General features: G+C 35.4%; 1 protein-coding gene across 7 annotated transcripts in view; it reads right to left on the bottom strand.

Moving 5' to 3' along the window:
• Positions 1 to 19,876, bottom strand: part of GPR137C (G protein-coupled receptor 137C) — an 84,878-nt gene that overhangs the window by 4,017 nt on the left and 60,985 nt on the right. For 3 of the 7 annotated variants that reach the window (NM_001353361.2, NM_001099652.2, XM_047431279.1), the window contains 2 exons: positions 1,388 to 1,537; positions 42 to 167 (listed from right to left, as the gene is read on the bottom strand). In NM_001353361.2, coding sequence (NP_001340290.1) covers positions 42 to 167; positions 1,388 to 1,537 — 276 coding nt within the window. Of the gene's footprint in view, positions 1 to 41; positions 168 to 1,387; positions 1,538 to 13,167; positions 15,687 to 19,876 lie in introns of those variants that run through there. The other 4 variants (NR_148417.2, XR_007064006.1, XM_047431281.1 and 1 more) reach the window with 4 other exon arrangements.

Raw genomic sequence — 19,876 nt, 5'->3', positions numbered from 1 at the left:
TAAAAATAGGAGAACAGGCATTGGGGAATATTATATCATACCAAATTCTGGTTTAATCTCTGTGCCCGGAAAAACAGTACCACCGACCATGCTGGCACATGTTCCCACAGAAAGAGGACCATTCCAAATACTATATACTCTTCTCCACTTATGTCTTCTACATGAGCCTGTAAATAGAGCATGGCAGAGAATTTTTACATCTGTTTATTGTATAAGCAATCACCTCCACAGTTAACTTGTTTCAAGTCAGGTAAGATAAAATATATCAACTACAAGCACATAAACTCTAAAACTTTCTATATTTTGTGGTTTCTCATGAAATGACACTTATCCTTTAAAGGACATAAAATGCTTTGAAGCTACAAAAAATAAAAAGCAGTTAATTTTTTCAATGTATCAGTTTATGACAATTTTAATATATGGATAATAAGGAGTGATCTCCTATTTAGGCCCCATAATCTAAAGAGAGTGACTTTTAAAGACATTACTGTTCCAGCTGCTCCATAGGCAAAATAACAGCACTTACCCTAATTACACCTATAGAAAAATGTAACATGTTAAGTCACTCAGCTCAGCTCTACTTAAAATATGCTTTTGGACCTAATCTACATATTAAATTTGTTTCTGTTCTATCAGATGTTGGAAGAGGGAAATGGAAAAAGGAGTGAATAGAATCTGCCACAAGGAACCACATGTGAAAATTCCTTCACTTTAGAAAGGTAAATGAAAAATAGTATTCCCGGAACCCTTAAATTCAGTACAAAGCTAAATTACTATAAAGATATGACATATAGCTATGTCAAAATGTATGTTTAGGAAGCATATGGGAATGCTAGGAAGTTAAATATGCGTAGTTAGAGTACTGGGAATTACGATAGCAAATACCTGGACACCCAAGGAACTACGAATGCTCTCCCATTATCAAGACTGACAAAGCCAGATTTTTATGAAAGCCATTATTTAAACATGTTAACCTGAACCAAATATTAAGAGTATATGTAGTTCTTGGGTAGGGGAGAGTTACTTTCCTCCTAACAAAGACCATATTCACTGGCTAATAATAGGGAATTCATTTATCTAGAAATATTTAAACATCATCATTAACAAAAATAAGTAAAATTAGCATATGACCGAGAGGCTTGTGGCACTATTATTATTTACCAAAAAAGAGAGAGAAAATACTCCTTTGAGAGAAGTTCTCTGTGAAGAATGATTTCAAATGTCACACGTACATAAAGATTTTTAAACACAAAGCTTTAAGTATGATTACTGACAGTAGACAGAGATTCCATAAATGTGTTTGTAAGTCAAACACTACAGTGTTCTTCTAGATGAGGGTAAGTTAATTATCACATTGTTAGACTGGCAATACGTGGTAGGTATTTACCTTATCTGAAAGATTATCCCAGCCATAATTAAATGGACTTTCTAATGTATCCTGAGATATGGTGACCACCACCAAATTATAACAAGCTCTGGAAGAGTACAGAAGAATGACTACAGAGCCCACGACGACAGTCTGGCACAGAGACATACCCTAAAACAAATAAAAATCATCATCTTTAGTATTCTACACATTTGTCACGACAAGCTATTCATGTACATACAATATGGTCACCTCTTGCAATGCACTCCTACAAAGCACTGAGTACCTGTTGAAATAAACTCTTGATTATCTTGCTTTTCAATTCCTATTCCTAGAACTGCTTGTGTTTAATATGTGTAAGTTTTTTTTTTTTTTTTGCCAACTTGCCAAATAGCAGCTGGAGAAAGATTTTGTTCTGCCAAGGTTGCCTTGTAATATATGAATAAACAAGTTGGCAAAAGATCTGAACTTTAATTGATGTTAATCAAAGAGGTAGTTTAGTCATAATGAGAAAAGAATGGAAAATAGAAGCATTAGTTCATTTGATACACTTAATTTCTGATACAAAATTAGAATAGAAATAGAGTTCCTATGCTATTTGCTTTCATTCTTTTAGATTCTATTACAGAGTGCTTGTTAGTCCCCTATTGATGCTACAGTGTTGATGGCAAATGTTCTGGGCACCCATATGTACTTTCAAATCCTTAAAATTTTAAGACTATGGCTTTCACCATTTCCCTCAACATAAAAAGCCCTTCCAACTTAGTGGTTCTCAACTGGAGTGTGTATATTGGAGAAGGGTGTGGTAGTCACCTCTTGCAGAGATTCTTAACCTGGGGTCTGTATTTCCATACAATCCATTTTCTTTGCAATCCTATGTATTTTATTTTATGCATTAAAAAAATTACTCTGTGACATCCTTGCCAAAGAGTTCCATTGCACAGAAACACCCAGTATAGTGTTTTGGAAGTTTGTGTTTGGTTGTCACAATGATTAAGGGGCAATTATGGCATTTAGTGCACAACGTCCAGGGATGCTAGATGACTTGCAAGTCACAGGAGAATCCTCCACCTAAGCTAACTGTCCTCTGGCCTTGATAACTTTCTAATGTCCTCCTGGACAGTCATGAAGATGAAACACCTGTTTATAATTATCTGAGTCAGAACCTAATTCCGTTTTGAATATAAACGAAGTATATATTTACATAGTTTAAATAGAGGCCCAAATTTCCACAAACACATAGAATGTGTAAATTGAAGGAAATTTGTGCTTTGTTTTCTTCAGAATTTTATCAGTTGTTCAAATATTTCAGAAAATCATGACATTGACAGCAATACTGCTTGTGGTATACAAGTGACCAATGCAACACACCTGTAATAGTCTGCATTTATAGCTGCCCCATTCATGGTTTCTGTGTCTAAACACAAACATCTATTACATCATGCTCTAAAAGTAACATGTTGAAATATTTATTAATTGCTCTCCTTTTATTTCCTCTTTATGTTACAATTAAGGCAATTACACTGAATTTTATGTGTGTAGGTAGGTTAAAAATCCATTAATTTCAGGGTAGAAACAGGTAATTAAAAATGTTTGTTATTAGAACTGCACTGGGTCTTGCGGGGCTCTTGCGGGGTTGAGAACCATTATTATAACTGACTTCCTCAGAACAATTCATTTTAGAGGTATATGAAAAGAAAGAACTAAAAGATAAAAGATACCCTGAAAGATGCTGGGATAGTAACAGAGCACCTTCTTTGAGCTAACACACTACCATCACAAAAAGTATGTGTGAAAATAAAACTGGCAAAACTTAAAAATTAAGGCTAAAATTTTCTACAATATGCTATTTTATTTTTGTGAATCCAAAAAAAGTTAATAAAAGTTAATCTAAACCAATCCAGATCCAATTTTAGAAGTAATGTATTATTAAAGAAAAGTAAGGAAACAAGAACAAGAAAACAGGATGCTGTAAGAATTACCATCCTCAAAAATAACTGCAAAAGTTTATATGCACTGCTTTGGGAAATATGACAACTGTCAGAAACATGCTATAATACAGAGAAACTGTTTAAATTTGTAAATACTATAGAAGCTTTTAAAAAAAGATTGTGAGAAAAGAGCAAAGAAGCAATAATGCCGAATTAATACAACAAACAAAACAACCTCTAGTCAAATTACATACATAAAACAATGAAAGACACCCATTGATTTGGAAAACAAAAGATTCACCCCCACAAAATACAGGATTACAAAATGAAAAATAAGGATCCAGCGACATAGAAAGTGTTATCGAAAGTCGAAGAAAACCTTCCTAAAATAGAGTCAGAACAAGCAATTCAACTCAGGAGAAATTCTCAAGGAATGATTTTCCTTTCCCGGTCTCTGACACCTACATACCACTTTTAAAGAAATTCCACACTTGATAAGTGAAAAAGAGTTACACCTCACTCCTAAACACCTCAGTATCCATAACATTGGAGTTCAATAGTGTTTACAGATACTTTTAGAACGCAGATATGCAGACACCTTAACCTACTAGTCATTGAGTTTTGACAAATGTATACACACATGTAACCCAAATCTCCACCAAAATACAGAACATCATCATTCCAGAAAGTTCCCTCACACCCCTTCCATCAACCAAACCCAAAACACAAATGCTCCCCTGCTTTGGTTTTTACAACTTAGTTCTACCTGCTCTAGAAGTTCATGTAAGTGGCACCATAGAATATGAACTCTTGTATGTTTCATTCACTCTGCAGAATGTTTCTGAGATTCATCCTTGTTTTTGGATGTATCTATCAGGAGTTAGTTGTTTTTATTGCTGAGAGGATAATTACAGTGACCAACTCTTCCTGATTTGCTTAGGGGTTTTCTGGTTTTAGCACCTGAAGTCCCACATCCTAGAAAACTGAGACCCAGGAAAATTGAGAAAGTAAATCACACTAATTCCACTTTCTGATTATATGAGTTTGTTTATATGACAGTTAGATAGAGTCTTTGAATATTCTTGTACAAATAGTTTTGTGGATATGTTTTCACCTCTTTTGGGTAACTACCTAAGAGCGGAATTGCTGGGTCATATGGTGGTCGTTAAGTTCAGCTGTGTAAGAAATTGACAAATCTTTTCCCAAAATGGATGTACAATTTTATACTTCCAACAAAGTGTGAGAGTTTCAGTTTTTCCACCAAACTGTCCAATTCTAGGCCTCATTTGGGACTGTCAATCTTTTTAGCCATGCTGGAAGATGTGATGTCTCATTTTGGTTTTAATTTGCATTTCCCAGATGACTAATAATATTGTGTTATTGGCCATTTGTATATCTTCTTTGTGAAGAATCTATTCAAATCTTTTGACCACTTCCAAATTGGGTTGTCTTATTAAATCAATGAGTTGTAGGAGATCTTTATATATGCTGACAATCAACTCTTGTCAGATATACGTATCGCAAACATTTTCTTTAAGTCTGTGGCCTGTCTTTGCATTTTCTCAGTCTTGCCTTTGATAAGAATTTTAACTTCTTTTTTATTTTTGAGACAGTCTCCCTCTGTCATCCAGGCTGGAGTGCAGTGGTGCAATCTTGGCCCACTGCAGCCTCTGTCTACCGGGTTCAAGTGATTCTCCTGCCTCAGCCTCCCGAGTAGCTGGGATTACAGGTGCCTGCCACCACACCTGGCAAATTTTTGTATTTTTAGTAGAGACGGAGTTTTACCATGTTGGCCAGGCTGGTCTTGAACTCCTGACCTCAAGCGATCTGACCACCTTGGCCTCCCAAAGTGCTGGGATTACAGGCATGAGCCACCATGCCCAGCCTGATGAGAAATTTTAAATTTTAATTATTTCTAATTTATCAACTTATTTTTTTCATGGTTACTTTTTATTGCCCCTCTAAGAAATCTGCTGCAACTACCCTGTTTTCTTTTGGAAGCTTTTCACTTGTTTCATTTACATTTAGGTCTATGTTCCATTTTGAATTAATTTTTGTGTATGGTATGAAATGGAGTTGGAGGTTCATTTTATTCCATATGGATATCGAGTTGCTTCAGCACCACTAGTTTAAAAAATTCCTTGTGGTATTGGATTGCTTTACCATCTTTGTCAAAAATCAATAAACCACATTAAGTGTAGATTGATTTCTAAGCTCTCATTCTGTTCTACTAATCTGTCTTTCTCATGTCAGTAGCACGCTGTCTTAATTATTGTAGCTTTATACTAAGTTTCAACATAATGTAGTATGAATCCCTTTCATTTTCAGGGTTACTTTCTGCACTGTTCAACACAATAGCCACTAGCCACATGAGAGTATTTACATTTAAATTAAACTAAAAGTTCCTAAACAGTTCTTGTTGCTCTAGCCACTTTTTAAGTCACATTTGGCTAGCTATCATACTGAATGGTACAGCTAAAGAATATTTTCATTAACACAGAAAATTCCATAGGAAAGCACTACTTTATTTTTTATTTTTAATATACATATATTTTTTGAGACGGAGTCTTGCTCTGTCGCCAGGCTGGAGTGCAGTGGTGTGATCTTGGCTCATTGCAACCTCCACCTCCCAGGTTCAAGCGATTCTCCTGCCTCAGGATCCTGAGTAGCTGGGATTACAGGCACGTGCCACCATGACCAGCTAATTTTTGTATTTTTAGTAGAGATGGGGTTTCACCACGTTGGCCAGGATGGTCTCATCTCCTGACCTTGTGATCCACCCACCTCGGCCTCCCAAAGTGCTGGGATTACAGACGTGAGCCACCGCACTGCCCAGACAGCACACTTTAAATATTTAGATCATCTGCATTGTCGTGCAAATTTTGGAATCAACTTGTCTTCTTTTTAAACCACTTTATTGAGGTATGATTGACATGTGAAAAGCTGTATACCACTTGGTGAGTTTGCCAACCTGTCAATTTCAATTTTTAAATTTTTACTTATCTTTGAGACAGGATTTCACTCTGTCACCCAGACTGAAGTGCTTTGGTGTGATCAAAGCTCACTGCAGCCTTGACTTCCTGGGCTCAAGGGATCCTCCTACCTCAGCTCCCCAGTTAGCTAGGACTACAGGTGCACACCACCATGTCTGGCTAATTTTAAAATTTTTTGTAGAAATAGCATCTCACTACATTGCCAAGGCTGGTCTTGAACTCCTAAGCCAAAGTGATCCTCCCACCAAGGCCTCCCAAAGTGCTGGGATTACAGGTGTAAGCCATCACCTCCAGCCCAATTTCCTTTTTTAAAAAAAAGCATGGTAAAATTATGATTTGGTTTGCATTGAATTTACAGATTCATTAGGGGAGAATTGCCATCTTAATGATACTGCATCTTCTAATCCACGAACATGGTATATCTCTTCACTAATTTTAGGTCTTCTTTGGTTTTTCTTAGCAGTATTTTGTAGTTTTCAGTATACAGATATTGCTTGCTTTTTGGAAAATTTATTCCTAAATATCTTTTTTTTGAGCTACTATTGTAAATGGTGTTGTTCATTTAAATTTTATTTTCCAGTTGATTATTCCTGTTATATATAAAAATACAATTTGTTTGTATTTTGACCTATTCTGAGAACTTGCTAAAGTCATTTATTCTAGTTGTTTAGTAGATGCCTTAAGATGTTCTCCTTAAACAATTGTTATCTGCAATTAGAGACAGTTTTACTTCTTAATTCCCATTGTTTACCTTTTGTATCTTTTTCTTGTCTTATTGGAATATTGAATAAAAATGGTGAGAGCTGACATCCTTGCTTTGTTTCCAATCTTAGGGGGAGAACATTCAATATTTAAGTATGACATTAATTTTAGGTTTTTTAGTAGATGCCTTTTATGATATTGAAGTACTTTCCTTTTCTTCTACTATTAGCTGAGAGGTTTTTTTTTTTTAATCATGAAGGGTACCAAATTTAGTCAAATGCCTTTTCATTGTTTATTGAAATGATTATGTGGTTTTTCTCTTTTGTTTTAATGTAGTGAATGACACTGATTCTCGCTGCATTCCTAGGATAAACATCTCTTGGACACAATAAATTATGCTTTTTATATGTTGATTAGATTTTATCTCTAAGTATTAGGGACACTAGTCTGTAAGTGTTAATGTACAGCCATCTGTCAGTATCCATGGATTGGTCCCAAGACCTCCTGTGGATACCAAACTCCACAGATATTCAAGTCCCTTACATAAAATGGTATAGTTTTACATATAATGTGCACATCCTACTGTATACATTAAATCATCTCGATTATTTATAATACTGAATACTGTGAAAAATGATATGTAAATAGTTGTTATTCTGTATTGTTTTTTAAGTTGTATTATTTTTATTGTTGTATTGTTACTTTGTATTTATTTAATATTTTCAATTCAAGGTTAGTTGAATCCACGGATGTAGGACCTGTGAATACAGAGGGCTGCCACTCTATCTTTGTCAAGCTTTGGCATCAGGTAATGCTGGTCTCATAAAACCTGGTCTAACAAGTGTTCTTCTGGCCGGGCGCAGTGGCTCACGCCTGTAATTCCAGCACTTTGGGAGGCCGAGGTAGGTGGATCACAAGATCAGGAGATCGAGACCATCCTGGCTAACACGGTGAAAACCCGTCTCTACTAAAAATACAAAAAATTAGCCGGGCATGGTGGCGGGTGCCTGTAGTCCCAGCTGCTCGGGAGGCTGAGGCAGGAGAATGATGTGAACCTGGGAGGCGGAGATTGCAGTGAGCCGAGATCACGCCACTGCACTCCAGCCTGGGTGACACAGCAAGACTCCGTCTCAAAAAAAAAAAAAAAAAAAAAAAAAAAAAAAAAAAAAAAAGATGTGTTCTTCCCTCCTCTATTTTCTTTTCTTTTTCTTTTTTTTTTTTTTGGGATGGAGTCTCACTCTGTCACCCAGGCTGGAGTGCAGTAGTGCAATCTTGGCTCACTGCAACCTCCACTTCCTGGGTTCAAGCGATTCTCCTGCCTCAGTCTCCCGAGTAGAAGCGAGTACAGGTGCGCGCCACCACGCCTGGCTCATTTTTGCATTTTTAGTAGAGATGGGGTTTTACCATATTGGTCAGGCTGGTCTTGAACTCCTGACCTTGTGATCCACCCGCCTCGGCTTCCCGAAGCCCTGGGATTACAGGTGTGAGCCACCGTGTCCAGCCCCCTCCTCTATTTTCTAAGAGTTTGTATACTATTGGTGTTGTTTCTTCTTTAAATATTTGATGAATTAACCAGTGAAATCATCTGGAGCTGCAGTTTTGAGAAATTTCTGATAATAACTTTAATTTCTTTAATAAATATGGGTCTACTTAGATTACAAAATCTAAGATAAAATACAATTTCATCTTCTATCAATTTATAGTTGTATATTTAAAAGAATTTGTCCATTTCATCTCAGTTCTCAAATTTACCAGCAAAGTGTTGTTCATATATCCTCTTGTCTTTTAATGTCTGTAAGATGTTTAGTGATAGTCCCTCTTTCATTCATAACATTGGCAATTTGTATTTTCACTGTTTTCCTGTAGATCAAATTGACTGATGTATTCAAGAATCAACTTTTGGCTTTAATTTCTCCATTTTTTGTTTCCTATTTCATTGATTTCTATTTTTATCTTTATTATTTCAGTTTTTTTTTTTTTTGAGACAGCATATGGCTCTGTTGCGTTGGATGGAGTGCAGTGGCATGATCTCGGCTCACTGCAACCTCTGCCTCCCAGGCTCCGGCTATCCTCCCACTTCAGCCTCCTGAGCAGCTGGGACTACAGGTGCATACCACCACACCCGGCTAATTTTTGTATTTTTTGTAGAGATGAGGTTTCATCATATTGCTCAGGCTGCTCTCAAAATCCTGAGTTCAAACTGTCTGTCTGCCTCAGCCTCCCAAAGCCACCATGCCTGGACTATTTCAGTTCTATTACTTACTTTGGGCTTACTTTTTCCTACTCCACACACTCCCACTACCATTTCTAAGGGAGAAACTTGAGTCACTCATTTTATATCCTTATGTTCTAATATATTATTTAAATCTGTGCTTTTCCCTTCAAGTACAATTTTTACTGCATTCCACAAATTTTGATATATTTTATTTCATTATCCTTCAGTTTGAAATCTTTTCTAATGTCCCTTGTTCTTTCTTTTTTTTTTTTTTACCCATGGGTTATTTAGAATTGTGCTCACACCTACATGGAAACACAAGAATACGTATACCATGAAGATTTATTTTACAATATTTAAGAATTTTCTTCAAAAACTTAAAAAAATTTAATTAGAAATAAAACTGATTTTAGAATATTTTACTTTAAAATAAAAAATTATATATATTTTCATATTTAAGAATGGATCATTAGCTTAGAAATGGGGGAATTGTTGCTTAGTGGATACAGAATTTCAGTATGGGATGAGAAAAACATTCTGAAAATGAACAGTAGTCACAGCTGCACAACAATATGAATGTACTTAATGATAATGAACTATACTTGACACTGACTATGCTTAATAATGGTTAAAATGGTAAATTTTGTGTTATATATTTTAGCACTATAATTTTCCCAACATCCAACGTCCCTGTTTACCTCTAAGATGCTGAGAAAGATGAAAGTGATAGACAGTTCTCTGACTCAATGAAGAGAGGAATCTACGTCAAATGAACTGAGTGAAACTATAAATAAGGAAAAAATATTATGAAAATATTATGAAGCCTCTTTCAGTAAGCTTTATAAATGTTAATAATTTACCTTATTGTGTCTTCTGTAACAGAACATTTTTGAATAGTTTCATGGTCCAAGTTAAGCTGCAGCATCACTTTGAGACCAATCATTCAGAGTTTAAAGCAAAAGGAATTCAAATTTTAGATGTAGGTATCATGAATGCTTTAAACACCAAATATTGTTTTTATAACTTTCCAGACTAGAAAGGAAATGGCCACTCACTGAAGCATTTTAAAGGCTAAGTTATTATATCGCATTGGCCAATAAAGTACACAATAGCTTAGAAACTAGTATAGCCTTATATAATTGACATTGCTGAATGCCTGCTGGATGGAAAGTTTATAAAAGAACCATGGCATTGCCATTTCCAATTATACAGAAATTCACTGATTTAAGGATTTAACTGAAAATGTAAAGATTAAGTTAATGTTTTGTCTACAAACACATTTTTGTCTTACAAATGAATGAATGTACAGATGTGGCAGGGCTTATTTTGTTGCATTTATATGGTGTCAGCACCAACTAATCATCCAAGAAAATATTCTTTTATGTCAACGCCTGATAGGAAACACAAGTGGTACCAAAATAATCAAAGTGTTGAATAACTTTTCTGATTGTTTATCCTGGGCCAACTGTGTTGATAAATTCATTATCTGTGCTAGACCAATTGTGTGTAAAATTATTGGGCCTTAGCACAAATCAAGACGGTGGCAATGAACTGTACCGGCAGTGACTATATTCTTCACTACCATGCACTTGTACTTAAAAAAAGAAAGTCAGTTTCATTGAAGAATGTCTTTGGTGAAGCACTGAAAATATAATTTATATTAAATATAAACCCTAGAGTACATGTGTATTTAACATTCTATGTGATGAGATGTGCCCTTAAAGTAATTCTGCTGCACACTCAAGTACAGCAGCTGTATTGAGGAAAAGCACTTACGTGATTGACTTGTTAGTGGATCTAACCACTTTTTTTCATAGAACACCATTTTTTACCTGACAGACAACTCTGGCAGACAAACAATGGTTATTTGGACTTGGCTACTGGGCATATTTTTTTTCAAAAATAAATAAAATGAGTGTATCACTTCAATGAAAACATCTGGCAGCATTTATTTCCAATGATAAAATGTAAGCTTTTAAGTGAAAATTGTAATTTTTAGAAACTTGTACATACTTGTACTGTAAGATTAACAGCTTCTTAAAACTAAAAGACTTTTCTAATGAGATGGTCTGATAATTAACACATGCTTTTGAATATTGTCTAATGAAATGTATCAACATTTTGAAGATCTAGGACCATTCTTTTCCAAATGATTAATGCGCGATGTTACAAAATGATTCAAATGCAAGATTGACCAATGGAGAGGACAAAAAGTTCACCAATATGGTTTTATATTCCACATGGCAACTAACCTTTAAGAAACCTCCACTTCTGAGTTTTGGTGTAGTATTAAAGAAGATATCCACAATTATCTGAAAAGTCTATTAAAATTCTCCTCCATTTCCAACTATATATATGTGTGAGGATGGATTTTCTTCATATGCTTCAACCTAAACAACATACCACAATAGATTGAATGCAGAAGCAGACATAAAAATCTAGCTGTCTTCTATTAAGTCAGATATTAAAGAGATTTGCAAAATGTAAAACAATGCCAATCTTCTCAGTATTATTTTGTTTTATAAAAATTTTTTTATAAAACATGTTATTTGTTAGAATGTAATGGATTTATTTTAAATAAATTAATAAATGGATATTTTTATAATCTCTTAATTTTTTATTTATAGTATGATTTGTATTAATAGATATAATATACACAAACAAAAGCTCTCTGGCATCATCAATAATTTTTAGGAGTGTGATGGGGTCTTGAGGCCAAAAAATTTGAGAACCATTGCTCTAGGGATTATAAAATATATCCTTAACTTCTCACAGTCTAGATAGTAGTTAATATCCTATCATTTGATATAAATGTTAGAACTTTGCAACTGTATAGATCCATTTACAACCTCTCCTTTATGCTATGGTTGTTATATATAATACACAGAGAATTATATATTACGTATACATATGTAAACCTCACAATATTACGTGATTTTTGTTTTGCATAATCATATTTTAAAGAAGTTAAAAATCATATTTACCCACATATTTACTATTTCTCATGTTCTTCATTCCTTCTTGAAGAGCTGAAATTCAAGCTGGTTTTATTTCTTTTCAGTCTGTAGAATTTTCTTGGCATTTCTTACAGTGTTAGGTATGCTGGTAAGTAATCCCCTTAGTTTTCTTTTTTCTGGAAATGTTTTTATTTCTCCACTGTTCTTTAATAATATCTTCACTGGATTTGTATTTCAGAGTTGACAGCTTTTTTCTTTTGGCATTTAAAAAATACCGTTTCCGTGTCTTCTGGCCTTCATTATTTCTGATGAGAAGTGAGTCATCATTTACATTGATGTCCCTTTATGTAATTCTATAATTTATTTTTCTCTGTTTTCAAGATTTTCTTATTCTTTTTAGTTTGCAGCACTTTAACTGTAATGACCCTAGACAAAATTTTCTTCATATTTATCCTGATTGGGTTTGCTAAGCTTGAAAGACATAAATTTATAATTTATGTCTTTCACCAAAATTGGAAAGTTTAGGTCATTATTTTTTCAAATATTTTTTCCAACTTCATGTTCTTCCTCTTTCCCTTTGGGGATGATAATTACACATAATTAGACTCCTGAGCTTCTGTCTGTTTTATTACAGGCTTTCCCCACTTTCCTCTGTTCTTTAGATTGGATACTTTTTATTGATTTATCTTTAAGTGAACTGACTCTTCCTTCATCTCCAATATGCTGCTGTTAAGCACAACTAGTGACATTTATTTTAAATACTATATTTTTAAATTCTAGAATTTCCATTTGGTTTTTTTAATAGTTTTTATTTCTCTTGAGATTTCCTATTTATTTATCCAAGTGTATTTTCCTTCAAGCCCTTGAGCATATTATAAATGCTTTGTCTGATAAATCCAAAATTTAGGTTATCTTGGTGGTGGTGGGGTTGTCTTCATTGCCTTTTGAGTTTTGGTTTTTGCTCTTGAGTATGTATTTCCTGTTTCTTCATATATTTGTAACCTTGACCTGGACATTGTGAGTGACATATTTTAGAGTCTGGATTCTGCTATTATGTTCTGAAAGATGTTGATTTTTAATTATTTTAGCAAACAATTAACTTGGCTGAACTGAAATCCCAAACTCTGTCCCCCATACGTTGGTCAGCTGAAATCTCAGTTAAATTTCTTTATCTTTAACTGTGCTGTTTGGAGCCTGTCTTTCACATGTGTAGTTCAGGTATCAGATAAAATTTTGACAGACTTTATAATAAGAGTATGGGTCTTCTTCTATCTGGTATCTTCTTCCTGAGATTTCCTACTCACTTTACATCTGCAGTAGTGACTACAATTTTATCTTCTGATTTTTCAAGCCAGTAAAACAGTGGATTTCTCTTCCAGTTTTGGCTGCCCCATGGATGGGACCTTCTCTCAGGCTAGAAGCTGTAAAAAACAGGAAACTCACTCAGTGTCATTTTCTTCTTCTAAGTGGTTGTTCTCCATTGCCTTCAGTGCTTTTTTACACTTTGTCCAGAATTTATGATTGCTATCTGTGGAAAGTTGGTCCATTAGGAGCAATCTTAGCCATTACCAGACATAGAATCGTGCATGTATTTTTTTTCAAATAATCTTACAAATACTATTTCCATTTTGAAATTAAAATGCCAACCTCAGCATTAAAAACAAGAAAACAAAGTAGAATTAATTAATAAATTTAAAAACATGTCTTGATAATTATAAGGCCTACACAGTTTCACAAACAGTTTCATGCTGCTAAGTCACAATGAAACTCAATCTCTGGCTCCTATGACCCTGACATTATGGAGTGGATGGCTTTTACTGGGTGGGCTATCTGGCCATGGAAAAATTAAAAAATTCTGAAAATGCTAGCTCATAGAGTAAAAGGGTCTAGAAGCAGGGAGAAAACTACTTAGGCTTAGGAGAAGATAAGAGATATAAACCTAAGTGTAAGCAAGGATCTTTCAAATGGGACAAGGTGTGGTGGGTCAGCTCAGCAACAGAATAGGAAATAAGACTTGCAGTACAACAACTGCAGTAGCTAGGGCAGCAAACTAAAGAAGCTCTATAGCTTAAGAGGGATAAAGTAAATCCCAGTAACTCAAGGGAGAAATTATAATATTAGGATATTAAATATTAAAATATTAGGAAGGTGGCAATCCTATCTATATTACAGGGGATAATGCGGTCTGTATTTTTCTACCATCACTCTCTCCAAATTCTAGTTAAGTGGTATTTCAAGGTGCTGGAAGAGAGATATTAATAATATTTTAGCCTGTTTCTTTAATTATGGCCTAAGTTACCATAAACCATTGCGTTAGCTGTATAGAATTAGTTGCCTTGTATGAAAGATAAGAAATATTTGATTGAATGTTACTGTGTCTCTGAAAAAGGCTGATGCTGTCTCCCATCCCAATATGTTAAATAGTAAGGATCAAGGATTGAGTGAACACAGAACAGAAAGGTTTATACAGTAATTAAAACTGTTAGAAATACAGGAGGGAGTGAGAAAATGTATTATTTGCAAATGGCTGATTGGGCTGGCAGACAAGCTGATCTTGAGTACCAATGATTCCTTTTATACCCTTATCCAGATATAAAATTGTACATGTCCCTGGCCAGATATATAAGCCTAAAAGCTTACTTTTATTCCTACCCATTCTTTGATTGGTCTTTCAGACAAAGAATCCCAACTTGCTATCTCGGGGACTAAGCATCTAGCTGGTTTGAACCTTTTTATGCTGACGAGTTATTTTGTCCTTTGAAAGTAATATGTCTTCTATATTCTTATAACTGTTCTTATTTTTTCTGAAATGGAAAATAATGTTAGAATAAAAATAATTCTATTAGCATGCGTTTTAATGTTAAAAGTTATAATTCTGATAAAAAGCATATTTACTTCATTGATTTATAACTGATAAAAAGTTATAATTCTGATAAAAAGTAAATGTGCCCTAGAAATTCTACAAATGAAGGCAAATCAAACAGCAACAAAAAAACTTAATGAGAGAGAAAAAGACAAATACTGACAATCATGGTAATAAATGGAAACTATTTGAGTTACCCTATAAAAAGGGGTGCTCATTCATAATTAAACTCCATAAAACTTTGCCTAAGTTAGTGAGGCACACTTAAAATGTTAGCAATAGACAAAAAGTTAAAAGACAGTATCCAGTCTATCATGTCAATGCAAACAAAACAAAACTGAGATTGGAGTAAAAGATGAGATTTCAGAACAAAAATGCCCATCAAAAAGGCTATTTCATATTTGTTCCAAAAATTTCTCAGAAAAACTACTTAAGTAGTAGATAAAATGTAATCTATCAGACAGGTCAACTCTTACCAAAAAGTAGAGTAGGATATAAATCATGTAGAGTCAAGCAAAGTTAAAATATTCAAAAGGGGAATCCTGTTCTTCAGTAATTCTTATTCCTTTTTTTCAGTGACTGTTCCTTTTGAGATTTGATCATTATACAAGACCCCTCTCCAGTCAAATTTTGCCAACATTTTCAGGTGTTCAGGAACTCTGTGAAGTTAGATTACCATCCCCTAATTACATTAATACCATAATAAATAACATTTATAAGCAATTTTTTAGTGGTAGGCAATATACCAAGCATTTTATGTATTTTTTAATTTAATCCTTACAACAACCTTATAAGGTATGGACAGCTCTTATCCTCATAGCAACCCATGAGAGCACTATCATTATCTCCATTTTGCAGATCAGGAAAGTGAAGCTTAAAGATGCTGCAATTTGACTAAGGTCACACAGCCAATAAACAGTAGAGCTGGGATTTACATCCTTATCTCTCTGATCCTAAATTTCCATCTTTTTGTTTGTTTGTTTGTTTGTTTGAGAAGGACTCTCGCTCTGTTGCCCAGGCTGGAGTGCGGTGGTACAATCTCGGCTCACTGCAAACTCCACCTCCTGGGTTCAAGCAATGCTCCTGCCTCAGCCTCCCAAGTAGCTGGTATTACAGGCATGTGCCACCATGCCCAGCTGACTTTTGTATTTTTAGTAGAGACAGGGTTTCACCATGTTGGCTAGGCTGGTCTTGAACTCCTGACCTCAAGTGATCCACCTGCCTCAGCCTCCTAAGGTGCTGGGATTACAGGTGTGAGCCCCCGCGCCCGGCCAGTTTCCATCTTTTAATCACTTAATACACTCTCTCTAAGGCCTTTCCATATTAATTTCAAATTGATATACCTGACAAAAGAAATATAAAGTATATTTGATTCTATTTTTTATTTATACCACTCTCACTGCACAAGAGAATTTGAAGCAATTACAGAGATATACAGAAAATAAAAATAAATATGGAAATATATGTGTGTGTGTGTGAGGGAATGGTGGGTAAGAAACTGAGATGAACCTAGAGGTAGAGCCAGTACCAAAAATAGATATCATAAGATCACCATGGCTGACAGAGGTGAGCCACATATTTGCCTCTGAACATAGCAGCCAGAGGAAAGAAGGATTTAACCAATACCAGTTTTTAGGTACTGAATCTGGGCAAAATATCTTTTCTGGAGACACTGTATAGACAATATCCTCAACAACATTATACAATTATGGCTTTAAAATAAACTTTCCTTACAAGAAATTTTACAAATATGTTGCTGTAGGCCAAAGTATGGTGTCAAAGTGGAGGTCAGAAAAGACGACTCTACCCAGGATACAATGCAGTCTTGGTACAAAACTTCAATGATCTGGATTGGGCTGAGCATAAAATGGAATAGGTGGGTAAATGGAATGCACATCCTTCAGGTCATCTTTCTGGCAACTAAACTTCTGAATTTAACAGTTGAGAGTTTATTTTCTCTAACAAGAACCTGGAATACAGAAATTCTATATTATTTAGTAGGTCAGATTCCATGCATGGACAATCAAGCAAAGAGTAAAATTTATAATTTCATGTGGAAGACGAGGAACCTAACATGGCTGGGGGCAGTGCCTCACGCCTGTAACTGCAGTACTTTGGGAGGCTGAGGCAGGCGGATCACATGAGGCCAGGAATTTGAGACAAGCCTGGCCAACGTGGTGAAACCCATCTGTACTTACAATACAAAAATTAGCCTGGGCGTGGTGGCTCATGCCTGTAATTCCAGCTACTTGTGGGGATAACACATGAGAATCCCTTGAACCCAGGAGGCAGAGGTTGCAGTGAGCTGAGATTGGGCCACTGCACTCCAGCCTAGGTGACAGGGCAAGACCCTGTCTCAAAACAAACAAACAAACAAACAAACAAAAAAGAGAACATATGTGTGAATTTTAGGCTTTTTTTCCCAAGGTGAGCTGAAGGAAGACTTATAACTAGAGATAGTTTCCAACTCATACTGATGTGTAAATATGCAATGTTTGAGACAGGGCTGAAATCCAAACAGAAATTTTCTTGATTTTTGTTAAATAATGACTTTTGCTATAATATTACAAGATTATAGAAAGGTGCCAAGGCAGTACTTGAGAAAACATATTGCTCTAAATACCTGTATTAGTTTACAAAAAATGAATTAAATGTCTATACAAGGACATTGACATGGAAGAAAGTAGCAACCTTAAATATGTGAGAAAATAAAAAAATGAAAGAGTAGAAATAAACTATTCAAATTTACAATAACTAGTATTTAAAAAGCAAGTGAGAGTGCTATACTGAAAAAGAATCAAATCACAGCACTGTTTCAGTTGCTTAATAAATACAAATTAAAAAATAGCAGGATACAAAAATCAACATTCACAAATCAGTGGCATTTCTACATGCCAACAGTCAACAATGTGAAAAAGAAATCAAACCAGTAATCTCATTTATAATAGCCACAAATAAAATTAAATATCTAAACATTAAGTCAACCGAAGAAGTGAAAGATCTCTACAATGAAAACTATAAAGCACTGATTAAAGGAACTGAAGAGGACACCAAATAAATGGAAAGATATTTCATGTTCATGGATTGGAAGAATCAATATTGTTAAAATGTCCATACTACCCAAAGCAATCTACAGATTCAATGCAATCCCTATTAAAATGCCAATGAGATTCTTCACAGAAATGACCAAAAAAAAAAAAAACCCTAAAATGTATATGGAACCACAAAAGACCCAGAATAGCCAAAGACATCCTGAGCAAAAAGAACAAAACTCGAGCAATCATATTACTTGACTTCAAATTATACTACAGAGCTTTAGTAACCTAAACAGCATGATACTGACATAAAAACAGACACATAAACCAGTAGGACAGAATAGAGAACCCAGAAACCAATCCACACACCTATAGTGAACTCATTTTTGACAAAGGTGCCAAGAACATACACTGGGGAAAAGGTAGTTTCTTCAATAAATGGTGCTCAGAAAACTGGATATACATATGCAGAAGAATGAAACTGTACCCTTATCTCTTGCTACATGCAAAAATTAAATCAAAACGAATTAAACACTTAAATCTAAGACCTCAAATTATGAAACTACTACTACTTGGGGAAACTCTCCAAGACATTGGTCTGGGCAAAAGTTTCTTGAGTAGTACTCCACAAGCGCAAGCAACCAAAGCAAAAATGGATGGATTGGATCCTATCGAGTTAAAAAGCTTCTGTGCAGCAAAGGAAACAGTTAAGAAAGTGAAGAGACAACCCACAGAATGGAAAAAAACATTTGCAAACTACTCATCTGACAAGGGATTAATAACCAGAATATATGAGGAACTCAAACTCTATAGGAAAAAAAATTTAATAATCTGATTTAAAAATGGGCAGCTGGGCATGGTGGCTCATGCCTGTAATCCCAATGCTTTGGGAGGTTGAGTCAGAAGGATAGCTTAAGACCAAGAGTTCAAGGCCAGCCTGGGTAACATAGCGAGACCCCGTCTCTACAAAATATAAAAAATTAGTCGGGCATGGTGGCACATGCCTGTAGTCCCAGCCACTCAGGAAGCTGAGGCAGGAGGATCACCTGGGCCCAGGAGGTTGAGGCTGCAGTGAGCTGTGATTGCACCACTGCACTCTAGCCTAGTCAACAGAGTGTCACTGTTTCAAAAAAAGGAAAATAAAATAAAAATGGTCAAAAGCTTTGAAAAGATATTTCTCAAAAGAAGACTTATGAATGGCGAACAAGAATATGAAAAAGTGCTCATGGCTCACACCTGTAATCCCAGCAATTTGGAAGGCCGAGGTGGGCAGATTGCTTGAGCTCAGGAGTTTGAGACCAGCCTGGGCGACATGGTGAAACCCTATCTCTACAGAAAGTACAAAAATTAGCCAGGTGTGGTGGTGCATGCCTACGGTACCAGCTAATAGGGAGGCTGAAGTGGGAGGACTGATTGAGCCCAGGAGGTTGAGGCTGCGGGGAGCTGAGATCATGCCACTGCACTCCAGCCTGCGGTGACAGAGTGGGACTCTGTCTCAAAAAAAAAAAAAAGAAAAAGTGCTCAACATCATTTAACATCAGAGAAATACAAATCAAAACTATAATGAGGTATCATCTCATCCCAGTGAAATGGGCTTTCATTCAAAAAACAGGCAATAACAAATACTGGTAAGGTTGTGAGGAAAAGGGAACCTTGGACACTGTTGGTGGGAATGTAAATTAGTACAACCACTATGGAGAATGGTTTGGAGGCTCCTCAAAAAACTAAAAACAGAGCTACCATACAATCCAGCAATCCCACTGCTGGGTATATACCCAAAAGAAAGGAAATCAGTATATCAAAGAGATATCTGC

Source organism: Homo sapiens, chromosome 14 (genome assembly GCF_000001405.40).
Source record: "Homo sapiens chromosome 14, GRCh38.p14 Primary Assembly".
In the NCBI taxonomy this organism is placed as follows: domain Eukaryota; kingdom Metazoa; phylum Chordata; class Mammalia; order Primates; family Hominidae; genus Homo; species Homo sapiens.
Note: the sequence above shows the minus strand (reverse complement) of the source record. Positions and strands in the feature narration are given on the sequence as shown.